Source organism: Homo sapiens, chromosome 10 (assembly GCF_000001405.40).
Source record: "Homo sapiens chromosome 10, GRCh38.p14 Primary Assembly".
NCBI classification, from domain to species: Eukaryota; Metazoa; Chordata; class Mammalia; order Primates; family Hominidae; genus Homo; species Homo sapiens.
This window is the reverse complement of record NC_000010.11, coordinates 52,852,801-52,865,309: the sequence shown is the minus strand read 5'-3', so window position 1 is coordinate 52,865,309 and position 12,509 is coordinate 52,852,801. Positions and strand designations below refer to the sequence as shown.

The following is a 12,509-nucleotide window of genomic DNA, read 5'->3' as shown; positions in this document are numbered from 1 at the left end:
ATGGTGAGAAGTGGACATTCACAGGCAGAAGCAGGGCCAAGGCACCAGTCTGGTCCCTGTGAGACTTTGGATGCACTGTGAACTTTGAGAAGGGCAGTGGCACAGAGCTAGGCCTTTCTGCTCTCCTGGCACACAGAAGTCAGCGTTCACACTTTTCTTCTCCACCACGGTGTTTCTCTCCTGTGTGGTCTGGGTAGAAGATACCAGGAACACAATGCCCCAGCAATGTTGCTTCTCCTGTGGAGATAGCAGATTTCCAGCCTGGCTGTTGCCAGCGGGGCTCCTGCCCTTGCCTCGTTGATCAGCAGATACTTGCTCCTCAAGGGGAAGGGGCAGTTGGTCCTTCTGAGCCATGCTTCCGACCCATGTGGAGGGCTGATCTCCTGCCCGGCTCTCACCACAGCCCTGGGCCTGCTTTTCCTCTGGCCCTGCACAGAAGGGCTTGATCCACTGGCCTTACAGACACACCACCACATAAGGCTAGAGTCAGAATGAAAAGCCAAGTCTTTCAACAGCAAAAATGGAACTAAGATATCAAAGGTCGCCCATGCTGCTGACTTGCTCTTGCAGCAGGTCTGACCTTGGGAGGCGATGCCGTGTGACTTCCTTTCAGTCCACCACAGCTGCAGCCCGGCCCCTGAGGAGGAGCATGTTGTTGCAGGCCTTGTCTAGCTATTCAGGAATGTGAGCACAACCGCATGTGGTGCTTTGCCCCTGGGATCCACGCTAGTTGTGATTCCTGAAGTGAGTAAGCCCTAAGTCACTTAGCAAAGAAACAGTAAGCATTTAAAGATATTAACAAGCTGCCTGCATAATTCTTAGGTTTAAATGGCCAAGGGTGCATTGGAGAGCTCCTTCTGTAAACAACTCCAGCTTCTCACATTTTGGTAGCTACAGAATCACAGCTTCTGAGCCATTGAATTCACTTCCAGATAGCACTAGGGTGCCAGTGCATAAAAATGGAAGAAGAAGAAAATGAATAAAAATGAAATGTTTCACCAGATTGCAGCAAGTGAAAATAAGGCTAACTCCAAGCTTCATAGGATCTTAACCATCTCTTTTCCTTAGGCTGCTGAAATGAGAGCTGTGCATGAGCTTACAAACTATTGACATTACTCTCTAGCATGAACTTACAAATGCACATTAGCTGCTGCAATGACACTGTTTTTAAAATAAAAGTCAGGATAGACTGGTAAAGGATTTTTTCCCTTGATTTCTGAGTTTACTCATAGGAAAAGTGTTATATAGGCAAAAAAAAATCACATTTAACTCTGTACATTTAATGAATTTATTATGAAAATAGTGGCTATCTGGACAACCAGGATATGTGATGTCTATCGCCATACAGTGCCCTGTGGTGACTTCTCAGTCACCATTGAAGTAACCACTGGCCAACAGAAGATGAGAAATGTCATTACTACAGGCATGTACTTCTGTATGCCTTCAGTTGCAAGGCAAACCCAACTCAAAGAAATTGAGTTTCAAAGATTTCATAAACCTTGAAATTATAATGCTGAAAGTTATACAATACTGTAACTATTCACAATGAGGAAGATAGGTAATGTTTAAGGGAAAAGACAACTTACTGCTTATTTACTACTTTGTGTTTTAAAGTTGTTTCTCATGTCTATTAGTCCAAATAAGCCAGTCTCCTGGGCAACTAAACTTCAAAATTCCCAATGTCCTAGTAAACTGGGAAGATAATGTGATGCAGTATCCTGTGTTAGGTTCTTATTAAGGGTTGGACTAGAAGAGCGTTCAGTGCTTTGATATTGCTGGTAAAAGGCTCAGATATATTATTAAATCGTCTTTAGATGGAAAGACCAATGGTGAAACTATCAAGAGCCAACAAGAAAGCTTTGAAGTGACTGCTTTTTTTCTAGAGTTTCATTCAGCTTCAAAGAATGTCAAAAATCAGAAAGTGTGAAATTTATAAGAATTAAACTGATGATTAGCCCCAGAAGAATATCCCTCCAGTTAAAATGTCCTTCCAACCAAAAGGTTTTGCTGTCTTAGATTTTTCACTGTAACTGCCCCATCTGTTACCTACCTAATAAATGCTGATATAGTTTTCATTCATGTGATTCAGAAAATAAATATGAAAGTAAAATTTCTCCTAGTTTTTAGGAAAGAGCCAACAAACTAATAGAAAACTATTGCCTCTATCATTCAGACATTTCATTAGCTCTTTTTAGAAAGAAACTGGAGAATTACGAAAAAAAATTTGAACATGTGTAGTCACATGAATATTCTAAACAAGGTTTGGAATCTTGAAAAGAGCCAAGATACTCACCAAGTGATCTAGTACTGAAGTATGGTTCTTAGAACCTAAGCTAAAACAAGGCATTCTACCAGAGGCATGAGAAGAAGGAAAAGCTAGATGAACAGAACCTTCAGCGAAGAAGACTGAGAGCCAATACGAGGCCAAATGGTATCTATGGGAGACAAATATTATAACCAAGTGCCAGGCAGAAGAGAAAAATATTATAAGACTAGAGTTAGCAGAAAAGTAAGTGTCCTAGGAAACTGTTTTTAATGACATTGAAAGGTCTTGAATATAAATGAGTCAAGGTGCCTTTAAGTTGTGATTAGAACAAGTGATACTTTGCTCTTAAAAAATCACATAGATTTTTGACAAAGATCTGACAAAGGTCTAATATCCAGAATCTACAAGGAACTTAAACAAATTTACAAGAAAAAAACAACCTCATCAAAAAGTGGGCAAAGGATATGAAGAGATACTTCTCAAAAGAAGACATTTATGTGGCCAACAAACATAGGAAAAAAAGCTCATCATCACTGGTCATTAGAGAAATGCAAATCAAAACCACAATGAGATAACATCTCACGCCAGTTAGAATGGCAATCATTGAAAAGTCAGGAAACAACAGATGCTGGAGAGGATGTGGAGAAATAGGAACATTTTTATACTGTTGGTTGGAATGTAAATTAATTCAACCATTGTGGAAGACAGTGTGGTGATTCCTCAAGGATCTAGAACCAAAAATATCATTTGACCCAGCAATCCCCTTACGGGGTATATACCCAAAGGATTATAAATCATTCTACTATAAAGACACATGCACATGTATGTTTATTGCAGCACTATTTACAATAGCAAAGACTTGGAACCAACACAAATGCCTATCAATGATAGACTGGATAAAGAAAATGTGGCACATATACAACATGGAATACCATGCATCCATAAAAAAGGATGAGTTCATGTCCTTCGCAGGGACATGGATGAAGCTGGAAACCATAATTTCAGCAAACTAATACAAGAACAGAAAACCAAACACAGCATGTTCTCACTCATAAGTGGGAGTTGAACAATGAGAACACATGGACACAGGGAGGGGAACATCACACACCGGGGCCTGTCAGGGGGTGGGGGGCAATGGGAGGAATAGCATTAGGACAAATCCCCAATGCATGTGGGGCTTGCAACCTAGATGATGGGTTGATAGGTGCAGTAAACCACCATGGCACATGCATAACTGTGTAACAAACCTGCACGTTCTGCACATGTATCCCAGAACCTAAAGTATAATCTTAAAAAAAGAAAAGAAATCAGTGAATAATTTTGTTCCTCAATTTTTATAGGATTACAAAGTTTAAAAGAAAAAATATCTTCTGACTGAAAGAAAAATGTTTTTAATGATCTTTGGATGCAAAGCACAAAAAAATCACAAAAGGAGGAGAAGATCTACTTCATCAGAGAGCCATCTCCAGGTTCCATATAGAGGCCCAGCAATAAGCATTCAAATAAAGCCACATGTAAATGATGTACTTGACATCTGACAATCATTTGGGACTTTTCTTTCTTTCCAACAAAACAAACAGTAAGAATTCATTTTTCTGACTCAGTGGGAGAGAAATTTTTGGAAGAAAATGATGACCAAAAACCTAGTGGCAGCATTCTATATAGAAGAACAGCAGGCTAGCTATGTCATAGCTGATGTGTCACTGACCATGCCATCACAGTGATTTTAATAAAACCAGTTTTTTCTTTTCAGAGAACCCAGAGCACAAAGGACTATTCATATCAGTTTGAAAGAACCAGCAAAAAGAAAAGGACTGAAGATGTTAAATGTATTTTGACCTTAAAAGTCTTTTGCATTGCTTCAACAGAACAGATTTCTCAGTGGCTGAGTTTATATGCTTGCACTAGGAGGATTTTTGTGTGACTGAAGAGAGACTTTAAATTATGATATTAAATATGACAGGAGAAGCCTACTCAGATAGAATGAACTGTTCTTAACAGAAGTTTTTGTGAAGGAATGGTTTGTACTAAGTCTAAATACCAACATTTTAACCAAAATAGACAGAATGACTCCATTCAGTATGGATGTCTATTCATAACTATACCTGGATAGATAATTTTTAACCCTGAATTTTATGAAGTTTATTTTAACTCAGAATACTTTGGGAAGAGCTGAATCTAATGTGACATCAGAATTGTGTGTAATTAAACATAAATGTATATAATTGCAGGGAAATAATGAGTAGATGAGGATTAGATGGGTAATGCCACGTAGTGAGGAGATTAAGATAAATGAATTCAAACAGAGGTTCATTGAGTAACACACATTAGCATGAGCTTGAGCAAAGCAGTTTGCCTTCCCAATTTTCTCATCTATAGAATGGACATAACAGAACCTACCTCATACTCTTATTGGAAAAGCTAAGTAAAATAAATCAATTAGCATAGAACTAACTCACACTAAGCACTTAATACTGTAAAATGATGATAATGTGTGGTAATGAATATGACAATGACATCAACCTTGAGCTCCTTTTCAATGAAGATTATCAGTGTAGATCTTCTCCAATCTGGTCTGAATATTTGCTCTTTCCTATCTCACTCTAATTATCATTGTGTTCTATCGTTTCTTTTTTTTAGTGCTATTTGATATGTGGAGAATATTTGTTTGTTCAGTCCCTACTACTCTGTCTGTACACTACAGATACGTGAAGCCCTCTTTCACTTTAGTTCCTACAGTGATTTTTATCCCCCTACTATGCCTTTAAAAGTAAAACACCTACTTACTTGCTAGTACTGGAATGACATATTTTCTCTTGTTTGAAATTGCAGCCCTTTTCTGCCTATGTTTTCTGGTATGAGAGCACCCACTTTCTTTTTGGAATCCAACTGATAATGAATTACCCAATTATGTGAAAACATGATTTTTTCTGTGTTACACTTACCTCTAACAGCTAAATTACATCATGGCTATTATTCTGGATTAGCCAGCATTAGGCTCAGCATTAGGCTCAAATACTCTGCCCTATCATTGTTTGTTGAGCTACATTAAATTAGATCAGAAGATAGCATCTTACAGTGGTATATCAGGAAACCTTTGGATAGTCTTTCTTCAGCCCAATAATATCTTGGCCATTAATTGTGTGAAGAGGCTTCCTTCATCTAGGAATTCATGAACTTGATTTAATATTAGTAGGAGATCATGGTGCCACAAAGTTCAGGTATTCAATTTTCACAAGCCAATTTACATAAATTAAAATAATGGAAGGAAACAGAAACACAGGAGTCACTTCAGTCTATTCAGCTCTATTTGACATCATAAGGATTTTGCCTGCTTGCCACACTGGAATATTTTTATTTGTAAATATAACAAAAATGTTTCCACTTGATGCCATTATTTTCAACTAGATTGACTTCTCAAGAGGAGGTCATCTGGACATTGGGGAGTCATCTATGGCCATGCTCACAGGGGTGGACTATGAAGACCCGCAGACTATCTGTTCTTCCTAATTCAGGTGCATAGTCTCCCCTGCTCTGATGCTTAAAATATTTCAGTGAAAAGGACTTCAACAGCCAAAAGCTGAAAAAGCAATGAAGGTTATGGCGGATTATTAATTAATGTTATTGTTAAGTACAGAATAAAACAGATGGCTTTCAAACCTTTTGAATTATTCCTGTCTCAGAGTTTTGCACACTTTAATAACTACCTGCTTTTAAAATAATACTCTTAATACATTTAGGATCTGCCAAGGAATACAAAGATTTTCTCTGGTCTTCAGTCCTAATTCTCTAAAACATAAATAAAAAAGCAATGGGCTATAAGTCAGGAGATTTAATTTCTTGGTGCTAAAATTAGGGATACATAATGGATTTCATAAAACCATATAAATTAAAATTGTTAAATGGGGGAAGACAGATGAATATGACATAAATGAGTAAACTTTGCCACCAGAAAATCTGCACTGATTCTCTTCAACTCCACTCTTTCTCAGGTCTTTGGAGAAAAGGAAATCAACAGCAAGCAAATGGACAATGCTACCATAATTTGAGGTTCTTGTTCTGTACATGACTTAAGCCACAGGACATAGTCTGAACAAGCACAATGAGCACCTATAATTAGCTCTTAGGCCCAATGTGGCAGAAGTAGCCTGGAGCATTAAGCTGGAAGGACGATTAACTGGAAGGACAATTGTTTTCACCATGTTCCTCTCTTTCCAGGTAACTGAGGGAAGCCCAGCGACAGTACCTCATTCCATAGATTTACTGAGTACAAGATAACTTCTTATCTGAGCTAATACATAGATACAACCTGCTTACAGAAAATAAGCTCTTGAGAAGCTGAGAAAGCAAATACTGGCAAAGTATGGGTGTCCAGGAAGTGGAGGGAGTTGGACAATAAAGTAGAAGAAAAAAAAAATAAACTTCACAATTCTTAGTTACAGCCATAGCCCCATTTAAACATTTCAGATATTATGTTTTCTCCACTGTCTTTATTTCCCAGTTTTCTTTTTTCTTGATTAGGCTACACTGTTTTATTGGCTCTTTTATAAAACCAATGATCAATTTTAGTTTTCTATTTTTCAAGTAATTAATTTTCATGTTTATTGCTATTATTTCCTGATTTTTCTTGTAGTTATATGGAGAGCAGCTTTCATGAACACTAAAGAGGTGGCTCCAGGCCTATTATTAGACATGTTAATCAGGGATACTTAGATATGTACAGCTTTCTTTACCGATCAAGACATGACTGAGTTATCCCGATACTTTTAAACATTCCTCCAAGCAGAAGCACTTATACTGGTTGTACAAGCACTTCCAGGATGGATATGAAGACCTGAGGATATAAAGAAGGTAACTCAGCAAAAATTTAGCTGTTTTTCTCAACCCTTTAAAGGTGTTGACTGCATAAAAAGTATCACCAGTGTAAAAACCTTGTACAAAAAGTAGGGACAAGAAAAAAATGCATCAAAAAGTGCTGCTTTTCTTCTTGATCTATGTGCCCACCTCAAGTATGTTGCATTAGGTATAATTGACTACTCACACCAAATAAGTTAAACTGTATGCTTAAATGTGTGGTTGCTTACCGTCAACCCATTGCCCAGCTGAAATCTGTTATTCTTCTTTTTCCAACCTTCCGTTAGAATGTTTATTTTTTCCTCATTATTTATTATTTATCTTTATTTATTATTGTTAATGTTTAAAACTGAGTTTTCCTCTGAGTACAACTTTATCTCAAAAATGTTGCTATGTACTGTTTCACTATTTTTATTTCTAAATATTTTATAATTTCATTTTTTCAATGTGTAATTTTGAAAATTTTAAAATGATGATATTTTACTTGTTTTTATTCTCAACTTATAGTTTTATTACAATATTATCAGGAAAGACAGTATTATGGGGTTTCAATGTTAACATTTAGGAGACTATTTCTTGAGTGTTTGCAAAGAAAGCAAATTCCCTGTTATTGGGATATATGTCTGTTAATTTCACTTTATGAAGTATTTATCTATTAATTTCCCCATACTCCCTGAGATGAGAACTTAAGAAAAAAATCTGAATTCAGATGTGTCTAAATAGTCATAAAGAGTACAAGAATACAAGAGTACAAGTCATAAAGAGAACAAGTTCTATTTGATGAACTCTATTGCCTTTACTTCTCTCATTTTGTTCTGTGTCCCCAAGAGTTATCCTGTTCTGGGGGAGAATAAAGTATCGTTCAAGGAAGAGTTGTATTTTTTAGAATAGCTGTGTTGAGAAACAGAAAAGGAAACGGGTTACTGACAAAGAGATACCTTGGTAGCAGGGACGTCCTAAATGAGGTTGGAAGCCATTAATTTATCAGAACAGAAATCAACACAATTATGCAATTTTTACAAGCAGGTTTCATCACACTTAGTTTAGCAGTGGTGCTGGATTGATTTAAGATTGAGCTTTTATGGGAGTGGCATGCTGAAAGGGAACTGGGGCTTAAAAACTTACATACAGTGTCTACTCTGAATAGAAATAAAGGGACTGGGTAATAAAATTTCACAAAATTCGTAGATAAGATTTGTAATACAAATAATAATTGATACAATTAGTGAATTTTTTGCCATCAGGAGTGAGGAAAAGGAAAGAGTTCAGCTTGACTTCAAAAGTCTACATGACTCATGAGAATTCAGAGGGAGTGTGTTGGAGGAGATGATAATAAGTTTCAGATATGATGAGTTAGAGATTTATACTTTCTTCCACTAGACTGCAGTTCCATAGATAGGGTCTTTGTTTGTCTTGTTCTCCATGATTTCTCCATCATTATCCACAATGCCTGGAACATAATACATGCTCAATAAATAATTGTTGACAGAAAAAAATAAAGGGATGATATATGGGAAAATAGCAGAAAATTGAATGGTCAATAAGTACAAATATCTCAATATGTTTTGGTAGTCCCCCACAATGGAATACCTTGTAGCCAGTAATAGATCCAGGCATACCTCAGAAACACTATGGGTTCAATTCTAAACTATCACCATAAACTGAGTCACATTAATGTTTTTTGTTTCCCAGTATATATAAAAGTTATTTTTACACTATACTGTAATCTATTAAGTATGCAGTAGCATTGTATCTTAAAAAACAATGTATATACATAATTTTCAAATATTTTATTGCTAGAAAGTGCTAACAATTATGTGAACCTTCAGCAAATCATGATTTTTCTGCTGGTGGAGGGTCTTTTCTTGTTGAGGTTGGAGGCTATGAATTTGTCAGAACAGAAATCAACACAATTATGCAATTTTCACAAGCAGGATTCATCACACTTAGTTTAGTAATGGTGCTGGATTTATTTAAGATTGAGCTTTTATGAGACTGGCATGTTGAAAGGGAACTGAGACTTGATGTTGACAACTGCTGATTAATCAGGATGGTGGTTGCTGAAGGTTGGGGCAGCTGTGGCAATTTCTTTAAATAAAACACATAAAGTACAGCACATCCATTGACTCTTCCTTTTATGAAAGATTTCTTTGTAGCATGTGATGTGATGCTGTGGTTTTTATATTTATTTGTTTTGGTTTTTTTTTTTTTTTTTTTTTCGAGACAGGGTCTGGCTCTGTTACCCAGGCTAGAGTGCAGTGGCACAATGCAACCTCTGCCTCCTGGGCTCAAGCCATCCTCCCAACTCAACCTCCCAAGTAGCTGGGACTACAGGAGCACACCACCACACCTGGCTAATTTTTGTATTTTTTGTAGAGACAGGGTTTCTCTATGTTGCCCAGCTGGTCTCAAACTGCTGAGCTCAAGTTACCTAGCTGCCTTGGCCTCCCAAAGTGCTGGGATTACAGAAGTGAGCCACTGCACCTGGACATGTGATGCTGTTTGTTAGCATTTTACCCACAGTAGAACTTCTTTCAAAATTGGAGTCTATCCTCTGAAACCTGACAACTTTTATCAACTAAGTTTATGTAATATTCTAAATCCTTTGTTGTCATTTCAACAATATTTGCAGCCTCCTGCAAGACTTCAGTGCAGATATGGTAAAACTTGCATAGATTTGCTTTCCAGAAATTACTTTCTTTGTTCTTCTGCAAGAAGTAACTCTTCATTCATGCAAGTTTTGTTGTGAGACTGCAGCAAATCAGTCACATTTTCAGGTTGCACTTCTAATTGCGGTTCTCTTGCTATTTTCACCATATCTGCACTGAAGTCTTCACCCCTCAAAGTTATCCATTAAGGTTGGAATTAACATCCTCCAAACTCTGGTTATTGTTGATATTTTGACCTCCTTCAGTGCACCACAAATGCTCTTAAATGGTGTCTAGAAAGGTAAATCCTTTCCAGAAGGTTTTCAATTAACTTTGCCCAAATCAGTCACAATCTATGGTAACTATAGCCTTAAAAAATGTATTTCTTAAATAATAAGACTTGAAAGAAAGTTTGGCAGGACTCAGTGGCTCATGCCTGTAATCCCAGCACTTTGGGAAGCCCGGGCAGGTGGATCACTTAAGGCCAGGAGTTCCAGATCAGCCTGGCCATCATGGTGAATCCCCATCTCTACTAAAAATACAAAAATTAGGTCGGCATGGTGGCATATGCCTGTAATCCCAACTACTTGGGTGGCTGAGGCAGGAGAGTTGCTTGAATCCGGGAGGCAGAGGTTGCAGTGAGCCAATATCGCACCACTGCACTGCACTCCAGCCTGGGCGGCAGAGCGAGACTCTGTCTAAAAAATAAAAAAAGGCTTGAAACTTTGATTTGTGGGCTACAGAATGGATGCTGTGTTAGCAGGCATGAAAACACATTAATCTCCTTTTACATCTCTATCAGAATTCTTGGGTGATGAGGTGCATTGTCAGTGAGTACAATAGTTTGAAAGAAATCTTTTTTCCAAGCAGTAGATCTCAATAGTGAGCTTAAAATACACAGTAACCATGCTGCAAACAGATGTGGTATCATCTAGGCTTTGATGTTGTCTTAATACAGCACAGGCAAAGTTGATTTAGCATAATTTTCAAGGGCTTTAAGATTTTTCTAATGGTAAATGAGCATTGGCTTCAACTAAAGTCACCAGCTGCATTAGCCCCTAAAAAGAGAGTCAGGGTGTCCTTGAAGATTTGAAGCCAGGTATTGACTTCTTTCTAGTTGTGAAAAGTCCTAGACAGCATTTTCTTCCAAGAGAAGGCTGTCTCTTCTACACTGAAAATACATTGTTTAGTGTAGCAACCTTCATCAATTACATTAGCTAGATCTTCTGAATATCAGCATTTGCTGCCACTTTTTTGTTATGGGGATGGCTTCTTAAAAACCAATCTATGCTAGCTTCAAACTTTTCTTCTGCAGCTTCCTTACTTTTTTAGTCTTCATAGAATTGAAGAGAGTTAGGGCCTTGTTCTGGATTGGGCTTTGGCTTAAGAGAATGTTGTGGCTACTTTGATCTTCTATGATGACTACTCAAACTTTTTCCATATATCCAATAAGGCAGTTTCACTTTCTTATAATTCTATCATTTATGTCTTCACAGGAGTAGCACTTAATTTCCTTCAAGAACTCTCCCTTTGAATTCACAACTGGCTAACCATTTGGCTTAAGAAGCCTAGCTTTTGGCCTATCTTGGTTTTCAACGTGCCTTCCTCACTAAGCTTAATCATTTCTAGCTTTCGATTTCAAATGAGGAGGGTATGACTCTTCCTTTTATTTGAACACTTAGAGGTCACTGTAGGTTAATAATTGGTCTAATTTTGATATTTTTGTGCCTCGGGGAACAGGGAGCCTGAAGAGAGGGAGAGAAACTGAGAAATAGCCAGTCAGTGGAAAAGGCAGAGCACATATTGATTAAGTTCGCCATCTTAACATGGACACAATTTGTGGCATCCCAAAACAATTAAAATAATAACATCAAAGATCACTAATCACAGGTCACCATATCAGATATAGTAATGAAAAAGTTTGAAATATTACAAGGATTACCAAGATGTGACACAGAAACACAAAGTGAGCACATGCTGTTAAATAGAAAAATGATGTCAAGATTTGCTGGATGCAAGATTGCCACAAACCTTCAATTTGTAAAAAACACAGTATCTGCAAAGAGTGATAAAGCATTATTCTACTGTATAGTAGAATGATATTTGATGATATAAAAACATTTATGCTATAAGAAGTAGAAAAAAGTTATAAAACTGTGTCTATTTAAGTACAATAAAATTTGTTTTGTAAATAACAATTTACTAAATAGATATCTACATATAACATTGCTTACATTAGGGTGGTGTCATAATAAATAATTTTTTATTTTCTTGTCCTTGATCATTTCTATTTCTAAATTATGTTTAACAGTTTTCTTGTTTGCTTCTCTTTTGATTAAAGATGAACAGAAGCCAAATTAGGATCAAACAGAAACACCTCTGTTCTAGTTATAACTTGATGATGTTCTAAGCAGCAAGCAAAATATTTATTTCATTATTGTTGTCCCCAAGAATTGAATAAATTTACTTTCTAAAGTCAAGCCCCTTGCTTAGGGGGGGAAAATTAAGGAATGTGAGGTTTTTCATTTCTGTTGTTGCTTTGTTTGGTCAAATTTTGTTTTATTTGGGCAACAAAAGTTGGTCTTTTGTGTGTGTGTTTTTTCTTTTGCAAATTTGTTAGTTACAATAATAATAACCATCTGTGCCACAGATAGGCTCTTATTTTTACTTCTTCATTTTCCTCAGCAGCAGTCTTTGTGATAAATCTTTGTTGCAAAGGATTTTAAAAAGCAATAATTTTT

General features: G+C 36.8%; 1 annotated feature.

Annotated features, from left to right (window-relative positions):
* Window positions 204-965: an enhancer, noted in NCBI's record as "H3K27ac-H3K4me1 hESC enhancer chr10:54624105-54624866 (GRCh37/hg19 assembly coordinates)". NCBI's record gives its function as "activates a minimal SCP1, AML or CMV promoter by ChIP-STARR-seq in primed H9 embryonic stem cells {active_cell/tissue: H9 hESC(primed)}" and the evidence as "EXISTENCE:reporter gene assay evidence [ECO:0000049][PMID:30033119]".